Here is a 16,473-nt window from a genome sequence, read left to right as displayed (position 1 = left end):
TTGGGCAAGAGGTTCTGCTCCCAGGCCTAGGCAACCCTGGATGGAGGTAGCTAAGGGAACAAATACCTCTACCTTACTTTTTGCCCTCCCTCAGATTTTCTACCAGGAATCTTCAAACCCAAATCCAAATGCAAAGGAAATTTATACAACAAGAGAGTCTGTTGAGGTAGAATATACCCACAGGATACCCTCTCAGGACACACATAAGGATGGAAAGGAATGAAGAGTGGATCTAGAAGGGCAATCATAAAATATCAAGCAAAATATGAATTGGATCTTAATAATGTTAAAATTTGTGGTTCCTTAAAGATGTCCAAATGTAGATGCTGAGTAGTCATCAATGGCAAATAGACCATATTTAAAGCTGTGGGTGTAGAGGGCCTATAAACTGAGCCTCGTTGTGCATTAATATTGGGTTGAGGAAGATGGTCTTGCAAAGGAGACTGAGAAAAAGTAGCTGAGGAGTTGGGAAGAAAGTCAGAAAGGGTGGTATAACAAAAGACAAGGAAAAGGTGTTTCAAGACGATGAAAGTCTACAGTGCTCAACCCTCTGATAATCAAGTAGGATGAACAGTGAAAATGTTCATTACCTCTCCTCTGCCATATGTCATCCCTTACAGGACCATCCTTACACCTGAGCTAGAGGGGCCACTGCCCTGGGATCCACACAGTAGAGGGCTCTGCATATCATAAACACACACACACAATTCACTTATCAGTCACCCTTCAGGATCATTCTGGTCATAGGGAAATTCTTCTCCACCTCTCTTCCCCTATGTCCTTAAAACAAAAAGTCACTGTGTCCATAAACTTGAAGGTTTGTGGTTTGTACTGCTGCTGACATCAGAGAAACAAACAGCTTCAGAATGCAGGAAGATTTAAACAGTAGTAACAGTTTAAAAACAAAAGACAAATTAATTAACTTTTCACACTGTCCTCTTAGCAAGAATAAAATAGATTCTTTTATGTAGAAGTATTCTTTCCCAGTAAGGTCAAACAGCATCTATATTCTTCCTTTTCATTATCTTTCAATTCACAATTCCAGAGGTACCAGTGAAACGGGAAACTCACAAAGTTGCACTGAGCAAAGATCAACTGAGAAATATTTTGCAATATTAAACAATTCATAGTCTCTTAAAGTTGCAGGTATTTAGGCTTAAACTGTAACATCTCTTAATGATGGTTTATACTGGCAATTAGATAGACAGTAAATGCTAAAATGCAAATAGTTCTGATTTTATAATAATATTTGATGATAATTACATTTTCAAAAAACTAAATTAAAAATTTTACTTTAAGTGCTTTTGATCTACATTTTTGATATTAACTACACTGTACATTCTATTTTGCTTGAAATTCTAATACATAATTTTAAATATTTCAGAAGGAAACTTCTTAAAACATGACAACAATTAAATTAAATGTTTTGATTTTTACATTTATTTTACTTTACATTCCTCATTAAAATATATTCACATTTCATACACTGTAATACAACTAAATTTTATCCTTCAGAATCATTACTTTCAACAGAAGATAAATTATGTACATAATTTAACAGCAATAATAATGATTTTGCTGAAATGACAGCAAGAAAAAATAAATTTTATGAAATAAATATGCTTTCTGAATTATGTCTTTTATGCATCGTTATTAAATTTTGTTTAATATTTAACAGTCACATAAAACCACACAAAACACAAATTTTTCTTTTTTTCTTTATGTCTTTTTTCTTTATGTTTTTCTTTTTTTCTTTCTTTTTTTATTTCTGTCAAATAAGAGGATGGAACGTATTTTACTTAACAGTTGCTTATTTGATTTATTATTGACATCTCTGACAATACATCTCATTGTCAGATGTATGATTTGTGTCACGCGCATCCTTGTGAAGAGACCACCAAACAGGCTTTCTGTGAGCAACAAGGCTGTTTATTTCACCTGGGTGCAGGTGGGCTGAGTCCAAAAAGGAGTCAGCAAAGGGTGGTGGGATTATCATTAGTTCTTTTTTTTTTTTTTTTTGAGACAGAGTCTTGCTGTGTTGCCCAGGCTAGAGTGCAGTGGCTCAGTCTTGGTTCACTACAAGCTCTGCCTCCCGGGTTCATGCCATTTTCCTGCCTCAGCCTCCTGAGTAGCTGGGACTATAGGCGCCCGCCACCATGCCTGGCTAATTTTTTTTCTTTTGTATTTTTAGTAGAGACAGGGTTTCACCGTGGTCTTGATCTCCTGACCTCATGATCCACCCACCTCGGCCTTCCAAATGCTGGGATTACAGACGTGAGCCACCGTGCCTGCCCGATTATCATTAGTTCTTATAGGTTTAGGATAGGCGTACAAAGTACATTCTTAAGGGCATGGAGAATATTACAAAATACCTTCTTAAGGGCAGGGGAGAATATTACAAAGTACCTTCTTAAGGGCAGGGGAGAATATTACAGAGTACCTTTTTAAGGGCGGCAGAGACTATGTCATATCAGTTAGGGTGGGGCAGGAACAAATCACAAGGGTGGAATGTCATCAATTAAGGCTATTTTCACTTCTTTTGTGGATCTTCAGTTGCTTCAGGCCATCTGGATGTATACCTGCAGGTCACAGGGGATATGATGGCTTTGCTTGGGCTCAGAGGCCTGAGATCCCTGTCTTCTTATATTAATAAGAAAAACAAAACAAAATAGTGGTGAAGTGTTGGGGTGGCGAAAATTTTTGGGGGTGGTATGGAGAGATAATGGGTGATGTTCTCAGGGCTGCTTTGAAAGGGATTAGGGGCAGCATGGGAACCTAGAGTGGGAGAGATTAATGAGTTCGGTTTGCTGAGAAGTAGTGGAGGGGGGCAGAGTGGTAGCCTCAATGATAAACATGGAAAATACTATAGTATAGCCTGCCTTTGCTGGTGAGTGGCAATTAGCCCTGGTGGAACTGCCATCAATAAACCAAGTGTGATCAGGATGAGAAATAGGAAAGAAGGAAATATGGGGAAATGGAGTGACTGTCACATGGATGAGAGATACAGTCATGGGGATCAGGTGTGGTATCCGGAATAATGTGGGAGGCCAGATTGAAGTCTGGGCCAGGAGCAATGGTAATTGTGGGAGACTCAACAAAGAGGGAGTATAGCTGAAGGAGCTGAGGGGCAGAAAGTATATGCATCAAGTGTGAGGAGGAAAATAGATTTTGAAAGTTATGAGAACTGTAGAGAGTAAGTGGAGCATAGCTTGTGATTTTGAGGGCCTCTAAAAGTATTAAAGCAGTGGCAGCCGCCACACGCAGACATGGCTAGGCTAAAACAGTAAGGTCAAGTTGTTTGGACAGAAAGGCTACAGAGCGCGGTCCCGGTTCTTGTGTAAGAATTCTGACCACACAGCCCTGTACTTCGGCTGTGTGTAATGAAAAGGGTTGGGATGAGTTAGGGAGAGCTAGTGTGAGAGCAGCTTTTAGGGCTGTTTTTTAAGGAATGGAAAGGGGAGTAGGGGAAGGATTTAGGATTTATGGGGTCAGCTAGGTTTATCTAGAACAGAATAATGGGTTGTGGAGGGAGGTGTGGAGGATAGGAGAGTATATGGGTTTGGCACCACGGGGTGGATAGGCAAGACAATTTGGTTGATAAGGTTCAGATCCTGAACTAACCTGTAAGACTCGTCCGGTTTTTGGACAGGTAAAATGTGAGAATTGTAAGGAGAATTTATAGGCTTTAAAAGGCCATACTGTAGCAGGCAAGTGATATCAGGCTTTAATCCTCTTAAAGCCTGTTGTGGGATGGGATATTGGCGTTGAGCTGGGTAAGGGTGATTAGGTTTTAATGGGATGGTAAGGGGCACATGATCGGTTGCCAAAGAGGGAGTAGAGGTATCCCATACTTGTGGATTAAGGTGGGGAGATACAAGGTGAGGATGTGAAGGAGACTTCGAACTGGGGAAAAGGGCGGCAATGAGGTACGGCTGTAGCCCAGGAATAGTCAGGGAAGCAGATAATTTAGTTAAAATGTCTCGACCTAATAAGGGAGCTGGGCAAGTGGGGATAACTCAAAAGGACTGCATTAAGGAATGTTGTTCAAGTTGGCACCAGAGTTGGGGAGTTTTAAGAGGTTTAGAAGCCTGGCCGTCAATACCCACAACAGTTATGGAGGCAAGGGAAACAGGCCCTTGAAAAGAAGGTAATGTGGAGTTGGTAGCCTCCATATTAATTAAGAAGAGGACGGCCTTACCCTCCACTGTAAGAGTTGCGCAAAGCTCGGCATCAGTGATTGTCCGGGGGGCCTCCAAGGAGATCGGGCGGCATCAGTCTTCAGCTGCTAAGCCAAGAAGATCTGGGAAGGAGTCAGTCAGAGAGCCTTAGGCCAGAATTCCAGGGGCTCTGGGAGTGGCTGCCGGGCGAGTTGGACAGTCCAATTTCCAGTGGGGTCCTGCACAGTTGGCACATGGCTTAGGAGGAATCCCAGGCTGCGAGCATTCCTTGGCCCAGTGGCCAGATTTCCAGCACTTGAAACAATCTCCTGGGGGAGGCAGTCCTGGAGGAACACCTGGCTACTGTGGTTCAGACGTTTTGAAGTTCTTGTATGCTGGAGATGTGGCTGGGGTTTCTCTCAAAGTGGAGGCAAGTAATTGCAACTCAGAAATACGTTGCCACTTGGCTGCCTCTATTCTATTATTGTATACCACCTTGAAGGGGAGGTTAATTAGGTCTTCTTGTGGGGTTTGAGGGCTGGAATCTAATTTTTGGAGCTTTTTCTAATGTCGGGAGCAGATTGGGTAATAAAATGCATATTGAGAATAAGACAGCCTTCCTCTGGGGTCTAGGACAGTAAAGTGTCTAAGGGTTGTTGCCAAACAGGCCATGAACTGGGCTGGGTTTTTATATTTGACGAAAAAGAGCCTAAATGCTAACTCATTTGGGAGAGGTCGGATAAAGAAAAAAGGAGCATTAACCTTGACTATGCCTTTAGCTCTAGCCACCTCTTCAAGAGGAAACTGTTGGGCAGGTGAGGGAGGGCTAGTCGTGGAACGAAACTGTAAGCCAGACCGGGTGTGAGGAGGGGAGATGATAGGAGGATTATACAGTGGGGGAGCAGAGGCTGAGGAAGAATTGGGACCTGGCTCGGCCTGGTGAGGAGCAGCCTGGCGAGAAGGGGAGAGGTGAGATGAGTCCATAGAAAAGAAGGATTCAAAGGACTCAGAACTTGGGGTGGAGACTGAAGGAACAGACAGGAGAGAAAGAAGAAAGATTTGGGATGAGTCACATTGGGAACAGAGACTAGGGAGGGACTGATGTGTAAAAGAATGCCTGGACGTCAGGCACCTCAGACCATTTGTCCATTTTTCGACAAAAATCATCCAGGTCTTGTAAAATGGAGAAATCAAAAGTGCCGTTTTCTGGCTACTTGGAACTACTGTCGAGTTTGTACTGGGGCCAAGCAGTATTGCAGAAGAAAATAAAGTGTTTAGGTTTTAGGTCAGGTGTGAGTCGAAGGGGTTTTAGGTTTTTAAGAACACAGGCTAAGGGAGAAGATGGGGGAATGGAGGGCGGAAGGTTGCCCATAGTGAAGGAGGTGAGTTTAAAGAGAAAGGTAGAGACACGGAGAAGGGGCAGTGGGGGGCGGTGAGCAGCCCTGGGCTGCAATGTGGATGAGCAGCCAAAGCAGGTGTCCCCGCAATTGACCTGCCACTGAGGTAATGTGGGTGAATGACCAAGGCAGGCGTCCCCACGGTAATCAGACATCAATGGAGTGTGGGTGAATATTCAGGCAGGCATCGCCACAGTGATTAAACACCAAGGGAAGACTGTCTTCCCGAGTCCGTGACCGACGCTGGAGTTTTGGGTCCATGGATAAAATGTATCTCTTTTGTCTCTACTAGAGAGGAAAAAGAGCTGGAATTGGAAGGACAGGGAGATTGAAGGGTAGCAAGAGAGACTGGAGAACAGTGAAAAGACCGCTTACCTGATTTGAAATGGTGAGATGTTCCTTGGGCTGGTTGGTCTGAGGACCCGAGGTTGTAGGTGGGTCTCCTCATGGAGTGAGGGCAAGGACAGGGGACTGATCTCCCAAAGGAGTCCACCTGTCCCGGGTCTTTGGCACCAAATGTCACACGCGTCTGTGTGAAGAGAGCACCAAGCAGGCTTTGTGTGAGCAATAAGGCTGTTTATTTCACCTGGGTGCCGGCGGGCTGAGTCCAAAAAAGAAGTCAGCAAAGGGTAGTAGGATTATCATTAGTTCTTATAGGTTTGGGATAGGCATACAAAGTACATTCTTAAGGGCTGGGGAGAATATTACAAAGCACCTTCTTAAGGGCAGGGGAGACTATATCATGTCAGTTAGGATGGGGCAGGAACAAATCACAATGGTGGAATGTCATCAGTTAAGGCTATTTTCTCTTCTTTTGTGGATCTTCAGTTGCTTCAGGTCATCTGGATGTATACGTGCAGGTCACAGGGCATATGCTGGCTTTGCTTGGGCTCAGAGGCCTGACAATTTGCAAATGTTTTCTCACATTCAGTGGGTTGACCTTATATTTTTGTTGTAGTGTCCTTTGAAGCACAAGAACTTCTAACTTTGAAGTTTAATTTATTTATATTTTCTTTGGTTGCTTTCTGCTTTTTGTTCATATTTAAAAGACCATTTTTTAGGCTGGGCGTGGTGGCTCATGCCTGTAATCCCAGCACTTTGGGAGGCGGAGATGGGTGGATCACGAGGTCAGGAGTTCGAGACCAGCCTGGCCAACATGGTGAAATCCTATCTCTATTAAAAATACATAAATTAGCCAGGCATGGTGGCAGGCGCCTGTAGTCTCAGCTACTCCAGAGGCTGAGGCAGGAGAATCACTTGAAACAGGAAGGCAGAGGTTGCAGTAAGCCAAGATCACATCACTGCACTCTAGTCCTGGGCAACAAGAGTGAAACTCCTTCTCCAAAAAAAAAAAAAAAAAAAAAAAAAGATTCCTTAATCAAAAGTCATGAAAATGTACACCTTTGCTTTCTCATGAAGGTTTTATAGTGTAAGCTCTTACATTTAGATCTATAGTTCATTTTTAGTTCATTTATGTTTGTGTGAGGAAGGGGTCTCAGCTTCATCTAGTTGTACCAGCACCATTTATTGAAAAGCCTACTCTTTCCCCCACTGAATTGTCTTAGCACAATTGGCTGTAAACGTAATGTTTTATTTTTGGCCTCTCAATTCCATTCTATTGGTTTGTATGTCTATTTTTAATGTCTTGATTTTTATGTCTTGATTACTGTAGTTGTGTAGTGAGTTTTGTGATAAGTGTGAATCCTCCAATTGTTTTTCTTTCTCAAGATTATTTTGGCTATTTGAAGTTCTTTACATATCCATATGAATTTTAGGATCCGCTTGTCAATTTATGCAAAGAAGGCAACTGAAATTTTGATAGAAATTGCATTCGATCTATCACTAACTTGATTTAAACTTTTAACTATTTATAAATATGATATGTAGATCTCCAGGCCCCACAAATAGATAGGACTTTGTATTATTTTTGTGACTCATTGTGATTCTATGAAGAAGATATTATTAAGAAACTTCCTCAAGATCACATAGTTAGAAAGTGGCTGAAATGAGATACCAACTCTTGTATGTCTGATTCCAAATACTACAATCCTCTCATAGTATCATGCCATCCCTAATAACATCTTATAGTTTTTTGAGCTGTATATTATCTTTTGTATTCTCATTACTCACAAAGTTATATAAATTAGAAAACATAAAAATTATCACTTCCTGATTTGCTGCCATAGCACCCCATGTACACTCCTATTATCATAGCTCCTCCTCACACTGTATTCTACTTGCCTGTTCTTTACCAGACAGTGAGTGCCTCAGGAGCAGAAATATGTCTGGTTCTTATATCTCTGGGACCTGGAGAAATGCCTGATACTAGAAGGGGCTCTGTGATGGCTGACTGAATAAATGATTGTGTTATACATTCGTCCCTTAGGATTCAGAGGCTGGCATCGTAAGTTCCCCTGTACTTGAGTGTGGTTCATTTTCCCAACTACTGTGGAGAAGCTCAAGGACAGAGACCAGAGCCTTGCTCATAATAGATACTCAGCACATAAGACCAGGTCCAGGCTGCATTCTTCATGGGTCCAAGGAGAAGAGCCAAGCCAACCAGTTCTGAGAAAATCAGCACATTACATTCACAACAGAAAAAATACAAATGACTAATGAGTGTAAAAAGGTGTCCAATCTCACTATTGATCACAGAGACACAAGTGAAACAAGAATTTGTCTTTGACCTATAAAATTGCAAAGATCAAAAGGAGGATAATACTCAGTGTAGTAAGAACATAAGAAAATGGGTCCTTGCTGGGAATGTAACTTGGTAAAAGTTTTTTGAAGGGCAATTTGGCAATGGATGTCAAGTTGTAAAATGGGAATATGCTTGGATACAGCAATTCTGCACTTTGCATAAGTGCACAGTGCGGGAACAGCCAGTCCTCCTTGGGCCCCTGGCACTCTTCTTCTGGGTGTGGCAAGACTGTAAGACTGATTGCTCTGTTATGGGGCAATTTCTCAAGGTTATTTTATGTGCTGGTAAATTTGAGAGATAAGATACAATCTTCCTCCACACCAAGAGTAGGCTTATTTAGTGCTTGCTATAAAGCAATGGATTCCCAAAGCTCAGTGTTCCTTAGCTACAACACAAACCCACTGTGTGCCTAGCATCCATATAGCCCATATTGTGTCACCCTATGGGACTTGGTGGCAAGGGAAATCAACACAAACAAGTTGATGCTCATGTTGCCTGCTGTGCAATGAGTAACAAGGTCCTTTGTCCCTTAAAAAAGTTATCATCCCGTTTTCTACAGATAAGTAAACTGGGGTTCATTAAAATTAAATAGCTAGCCGAGAGCACATGGTCATTTACATGGTCATCCATTGCAGATGGAACCAGAGCCCAGGGTGACTGAACCTCAGCAGCTAAACACGGGTCACCTGGATAAGCAATATGAGAGAATAACAGAGAAGAATCACAGGGCAAACTCTCCTAACAAACTTTATGTAATCAGCCTGCAGGATTGCGTGGCACTCTCCAGTCACTCTGAAAAGCATTCAAACTGTTGCCATGACCTGCTGAATGCTCATAGCTACTGGGTCACTCACTAGAACAGTAGTTCTCAGAGTATGGCCCCCAGACCAGAAGCATTGGCAGCCCCAATAAGTTAATAGAAATTCAAATTCTCAGGCCTCCTGGATTTACTTAACCCAGACCTCCTGGAATTGCTAAAACACTGCAACCTGTGTTTTCACAAACCTTCCAGGTGATTCTGAGGCACACTCAAGTTTGAGAAGACACTGCTCCTGTGCACGCTGCAAACTCCCCTCCCCTAAGCTGAGCTGCATCCTTACTGAGAGACTGTGGGGCTAGTTCTCACACCTGTTCATGACAATTGTACTTGTCACTCTATTTACAGATTTTAATTAATGATTATGTTTACCAGTGAAATATGAGGGCAAAAGAAAAGGAATGATTGTTTCTATGACAACCATATTGAATATTTTAGAAAGTCAATGAAGATAAGTCACTAAAAAATGTTCTTGAAAGAGAAAAATTAGTGAACATCTACTGTTTTGTACTCTTTTATGAGTCTTTAAATCTTCATTCCACTTTAAATAAACCATATCTGGAGATCAGAAAAAATAAATGTGGTTTAGAGAAGCAATGTGGAACAAAATACCAAACAATGATTCCATATTCAAAGAAAAGGCCTCAGGGCTGCATCAAAAGATTTGCAAATGAATATGCCTTTACATGTTTTAAGTTAAAATAAAATGTTTAGGCCAGGTGCAGTGGCTCACACCTGTAATCCCAGCACTTTGGGAGGCTGAGGCAGGTGGATCATGAGGTCAGGAGATCAAGACCATCCTGGCTAACATGGTGAAACCCCCGTCTCTACTAAACATACAAAAAGAAATTAGCTGGGCATGGTGGGGGTGCCTGTAGTCCCAGCAACTCAGGAGGCTGAGGCAGGAGAATGGCGTCAACCTGGGAGGCGGAGCTTTCAGTGAGCCGAGATCATGCCACTGCACTCCAGCCTGGGTGACAGAGCGAGACTGTGTCTCAAAAAAAAAAAAAATTTAAATTAAATGTTTAAGGTATATATGTATTTTTTATAATTTCACATTTAACTGACTCTAAAAAAATTAGTTGACTGACTTCTGGCCTCCACTATGTCAGGAAGAGAGCTTCCCTTGGATAGAATTTAAGTCCTGATAAGAGATAACAACCTAGAATGGGGGAATAAGATACAACTAACTTCTTTTAATTGCTGTTCCTTTCATTCTTGGCTCATGAACAAAGAGGTTTGGTTCTCCCCTCTTAGCTTCTATGTGTCTGAACCAAGAGGATACCATCGTTAAACAGCTATATCCTTGAAAAGGTATTATCAGGAGCACGTTTAATGGTAATATATGGGACATGTCCTAACATCCATTATTAAGCCCAGTGGTTGATCAGTTTGCCTCTTGGGCTCTGGTTTAAAAAAATTATTTGTCCTGCCCAAGAGTGTAAAAGCATGCAGAACAGAGCGATCAGAAATAAGTGAAGCCATTTATCCCATTGTTCTCCTCATTCTACCCTTCTCCTTTGAGAACCCTTCCTCACCTCCTTCTCTCGTGGGCTCCCATGTTGGCCCCCTCCCTTGGTGTGTTGGACCCGATGGAAACCCAATTTCTGCTGATCAATCTGTTCATTTTCCTGCAAATGTGGATTAGGCACACACAAACTCTAAGTCTTTATTGAATGTACGAATTGGAAGGGAAGAACAACTAGGGCTGGTGCAGTGGCTATATCCTCCTGTGTGCTGGGATAAGCAGAGAGAGCCAGCCTGGAAGAGAGAGAATGAAGCCTTTGCCCAGAGAAAATTGGAAACAAGAGATCCTGTGACTGTGGACAGAGTAACTTGGGGAGGCTAGTTGAGTTTCTTGCCTTTAGGAACTATAAGCTACCCACATCATCCCCATCCTTCTAAGAAATTGCTTTTTTTTTCTCCTTAACCTCATTTTACTAGGCCCCTATTACTTGCCTGACGCTATTCTTGGAGCAACAAGTACTTAGTGCCAGGCATCTTGGTGAGTATATTGAAAACACACATTGGCAATTCTATGACAATGACTTTTGTTGTTTAAAATCTGAACTTTAAGTAGTTGCAGATAGGGATCATTTACTGGCTAGCAATAGGGGCCCTCACACAGAGAGGTGACATCTCAGTATGGTACAGGAACAGCCTGGGAATCATTAAAAATCAAAGATAAGCAGAATTCGGATAATGTGTTATAGAAGAGATGTTTACTTGAGCAGAACAGAGACTATTAGACGACTCTCTTAGCTATTCTTAGCCAACAATGTTATAAAGCTATTCTTAAGTTATGAAAGAATTGGACATTTACATCAGGAACATTATATAGCATTTGTTTATTGTTTATACATAAGCATAGCTAAATCAGTTCTTATTTTATAGTGTTGATGTAATCATTACTTAAAAATGCTATTGGTGTTTGATATATGGTGTGGCTCTGTGTCCCCACCCAAATCTCGTCTCAAACTGTAATCCCCATAATCCCCACGTGTTGAGGGTGGGATCTGGTGGGAGGTGACTGGATCATGGAGGTGGTTTCCTTATGCTGTTCTTGTGATAGTGAGTACTCACAAGATCTGATGGTTTTATAAGTGTTTGACAGTTCCTCCTACACACACGCCCTCTTGCGCCTTGTGAAGAAGGTGCCTGCTTCCCATTCGCCTTCTGCCATGATTGTAAGTTTCACCTGAGGCCTCCTAGCCATGCTTCTTGTTAAGCCTGTGGAACTGTGAGTCAATTAAACCTCCTTTGTTTATAAATTACCCAGTCTTGGGTAGTATCTTTATAGCAGTGTGAAAACAGACTAATACAGTGTTTTAATGAAATGTGAAGTTAAAGAACCCTCCGCCTGCCCCAACTCCTAGGGCACTGTGGAATATAGACAAGTTGTGGACCTCACCTGACTGATGCAGTCATGACTCTGATACCCAGAGGAGGCAATGTTAGGTGAACAGCCCCACTTACTGAGTACTCTTTTAACAAGCCTCATTTCAATTTGGAAGTGTGACACACTCTAGAAACCATCTAAATGTAGAAAAGTTTTCTTCCTGCACCTCATTTCTCATGTTCCCTCCTCCTAACCTCGTTAGGAAAGGAAAACAGATAGTGGAGCTATGTCTTGGAGGACATAAACCAGGATAAACTACAATGTAGAGGAAAACTAAACTGAGATTACTCTAGGCATCTTTGCCTGTGAGCTGGAGAAGGGCTTGGGGATTTGGCAAGCAGGCTGTTGGGGAAACGAGAAGATGCCTCAGACACAGCTGAATGGCCTATGGGTGGGGAGGATGAGGCAGCTAGGGGTTGCGGGTTCTCTTCTTTTTACCCCCAGCATCAAAGTCTTTGCCTTTGTGAAAGGAGAAAAGTAAAGGTGGGATTCAGGTGAAAGAGATGGGAATAGTGGAGTTAAGGCAAAGTCAGATGGGAAGGATGACAGTCAAGAAGGGAGGTAAAGGAAGACAAAAGATAAAAGACAATAGGGAAGTACTCATTCAGCTGAGTAAGCTGGTGTATAAGTCAGTAAGGGCCATGCCGTGTGTGTGTGTGTGTGTGTGTGTGTGTGTGTGTGTGTGTGTTTTTCAGCCAAGGAACAGACTTTTGGTGTAATAGTTTCGATGTGAGCAGAGTACATTCATTTCAATTCCTTTTTTACTTTTGCAGAAAACATACAAAAGAGAGTTAAGGGATTAAGAGTGCAGAATCTGGTGTTGGACAGACATGGTTTCAAAATCTGGCTTTGCTACTGTTAGCCGTGTGACCTTAATTGACTTATCTAACCTCTCTAAACCTCCCTATATTAGAAGTGGAAAATAGTAATTTCCCTGTAATAGGACCGTCCTGAGAAAGAAGCAAGATATATGTGTAAAGCAATTTGGCAGATCTGGTACATAGTAAATGCTCATAATGGTAGCTTTTGTGGCAGCTCTATCCTCTGACAGATTGCACATATTGAGTGCTGAGTTTGTGCCAGCTCCTTACATCTATATTTATTTTTTGATGCAATTAAGGCTTTCATTTATTATGCATACTGACACCAAGATTTATGCTTTGTCCATGTATTTTGTTTTCCTATTTTTATCCATCCCCAGACTTGACATGGGCACTATGAACATATTCCATATGAACCAATCACACAAGACCTGTAGTCCAGATAGAAATTAGCTACCTTTCTTGTTTTAAGAACAATTTGGTAATGTTATGTAATTATAAATTTTTGAGTAGACGTGCTTTGTACTTAGGAGCACACATATATGAGGTACATAATATTTTAAAATAAATTTTCCAAAGATATGCAAGAAAATGCCTCATTATTTTATAATAATCTCCTTTCTCTTTCCCCTTCTTTCTCTAGAAAGAAAAAACATAGCAATACAATAAAAAAAGATAAATTACTCCCCATCCAATGGCATTTGGCAATTCCTTAAAAATCATCTGTCCCCCTAAATCTAAAAAATTTTCCACCCCAGTATATTCAAAAGAATATGCTGAGTAATAACAAAGGAGGAGGTCAAGAGAATCTTTTGTGCCCTGGCACATTGGTTTCTTAGGCTACAACATTGAGGGCAGAGAGGATCACACTTACTTTTGGCACATGAGTTAAATCTCACATATCACTTCATGGTTGCCCCTCACACACATCCTATGGTTTGCCACCCATACCCAAGCTTAACTCTGCATACCACCTTCCCCCAAGATTCTCAGTTTTCTCGACTGTTTGCAGCTCTGGTCATATACTGTGGCAGGACCTCATCTTGTGACCAAAGTTCCTCAAAAAGAGCTACATTGTTGGACTTCTGCCCCCTTAGCTTGTCTACCTACTGCAGTGTGTATTCTTGCATTGGTCTATGGGAACATGCTTTCTTTTTATAAATTAGTGTAAAGTGTCATGCATGGGCTTAGGGAAAACACAGTATTATGTAGTGCCATATACAGATAACATACCATTAGCTAGACCAGAGTTATATAAGAACAACATGTTGTTATGTTTTATTCCCAAGTATTAAGAAAGCTCATGTGAGATTATTCTCTGCACCCTAGCATTTTATCATTTTCACCTTTAACACATTATCTTGTCTTGTTTCCTTTTTTCCCCACGTCAAATTTCTGAAGTGAATTTTCAAACCAAATATATATATATACATTTATATGTACCTATACATATACATATATGTACCTATACATATACATACATATACATGTATAGTAGATCATAATTGAGAAACTGTCTTTGCCATAAACTTATGGTTTAGCCTGAAAAAAGCTCAATTCGGCTGGGCACGGTGGCTCATGCCTGTAATCCCAGCACTTTGGGAGGCTGAGGCGGGTGAGTCACGAGGTTAGGAGATCGAGACCATCCTGGCTAACACGGTGAAACCCCATCTCTACTGAAAATACAAAAAATTAGCTGGGCTTGGTGGCAGGCGCCTGTAGTCCCAACTACTTGGGAGGCTGAGGAAGGAGAATGGCGTGAACCCGGGAGGCAGAGCTTGTAGTGAGCCGAGATCCTGACACTGCACTCCAGCCTGGGTGACAGAGCGAGACTGTCTCAAAAAAAAAAAAAAAAGAAAAAGAAAAAGGCTCAATTCACCCACTTTGAAGATTAACTACTTCATCACATGTAAGCGGTGAGTGAGGAATAAGGGACAGGTTCATTTTCATCACAAATATTATAACCTCAAAAATAAAAGTTTACCTTATTCTCCACTGGAATTATGCAAATACATAAAATGCAAAGTATCCACACTCAATATTGAATATAACATATGTCGAATTACTGGTGGATATTTTTCTTTCTCTTACTTAATCAGCTGTATGTTGAGAAATTTATATATTGGGCAGATAACAAATGATTGTCATCTGAGGATTGCCAACATACCAAATTTTCTTTTATCTCTTCAGAAACATCAGTGTGCAGTTATCTAATCATATTGATATTCTGATGGTGAGTAACATGTTATATAATCTTTCTGTGCCTTTCTTGATGGGGTCAGATTCTATACCACACAAGTCACAGAATTCCAAAAAGCTATTGTGAGAATAAAGCTAAAGGCAACAAAAGGATGAATCACTAGTCATTGGGTTTTGTTTTTTTTCCACTTATGCGTATCATATTCTAAAATGAATTAAAGATGGGAAATTATCAGATGAAATTCTGAGCTCATGTTCTCACACTGTCTGATGGGCTGAATTTTCACAAGGGATGGGCTGTCATCATTTTGTCAGGACCTTTGGAGACAAGTTCAAGAGTAATATTTAGTCAGCATAAATATCAAAATGCCCAATAATAAAACATTTTATCCATCTGTTTTTAATCATAAGCCTCTTTAATCTAAATGATTATTATATTGTGTTTCATACATATTCTGTAAAGATCAAACTGAGTCAATGTCTCTAAAGAGGAAAATAAAATTTTAGCACTATAAAAAAATTTTTAAGGTCAGCTTTATATTCCTATTATGAATTTAAAAATATTTCTTTGCTTTAAGCAATATTGCCTCCTTGAAATCATTGTTTTCAAAAAAAGAAAATAATTTCCTACTTTCTAGTTTGCAGAAAAGTTAATATTATCAGAGAATCATTTAACAAAATGATACCAAGCTCTACTAATTTAACAAATAGTTCTCCATTAGACTGGAACTATATGGGAGATTGTAATTAGAAAATGTCTTCATTGCCATTTGTCCTCATTCGCCCTAGCTCAGCCTATGGTCAGATTATATCCTTCTCATATGTTAAATTGACAATCAACCATCACTGAAGGTAAAATGAATAGTAAAGGGCCACCTTCTGACCACAAGACACCTAGGCATGCTGTTTCTTCCACAGGGAAAACACTTCCCTATTCTTTTAGCACAATCTATAGTCCTTAGCTTGCTTTTCGCTTCCTCCTGGAAGCCTTCTCTGACTGCCCTGACTAGGTCAATAACTCACTTCCACATTAGATGCTCTCATAGCATCTATTTTACATCTTATAGCAAAATAAAGTTTAAACTGTAATATTAGTGAAAGCCTGAAGGGAGCCATCTACTTACAAAATATATAATTTTCTAGTCTTTCCCAATTTAAAATTCCTCATCTGTAGCTTGGGCACTTTTTTCTCTACAGCGTGCTGTCTGCCATTTTATTTTAGCTATGAGGCTGCAGTCAAGTTGGAGGAAAATATGACATAAGAGTAGACAGCCCAAAGCTCTAGGCCTGGGGAATTATGAGAAGAGAATGAAAAAGGCAGGGAGCCCCAGTTCTCCTCTACAGGCTTTACCTGGAAGTGTGGTAGATGAATTAAGGGGCAGATGCTCATCCAACTGATGTTTGGAACACGAAAGAGGCAATTATCTCTCCATTTGCCCCATACCAACAGGGAGTAGCCTCATTAGACAGAGGGAGGGCTGG

The 16,473-nt window shown here is 40.9% G+C and overlaps 1 long non-coding RNA gene across 1 annotated transcript in view; it reads left to right on the top strand.

Moving 5' to 3' along the window:
• LOC102467217 (uncharacterized) overlaps nucleotides 1-15,154 on the top strand; it is a 30,528-nt gene extending 15,374 nt beyond the window's left edge. Inside the window, exons 4-5 of the long non-coding RNA NR_104674.1 lie at nucleotides 11,017-11,077; nucleotides 14,983-15,154. This is a non-coding gene — a long non-coding RNA (uncharacterized LOC102467217). The remainder of the gene's footprint in view (nucleotides 1-11,016; nucleotides 11,078-14,982) is intronic.
• Nucleotides 15,155-16,473: the final 1,319 nt, after the last annotated feature.

The sequence above is a fragment of the Homo sapiens genome, chromosome 5 (genome assembly GCF_000001405.40).
Source record: "Homo sapiens chromosome 5, GRCh38.p14 Primary Assembly".
Taxonomy (NCBI): Eukaryota; Metazoa; Chordata; class Mammalia; order Primates; family Hominidae; genus Homo; species Homo sapiens.
The sequence above is the reverse complement of the archived record's forward strand: the minus strand, read 5'-3'. Positions and strand labels throughout refer to the sequence as shown.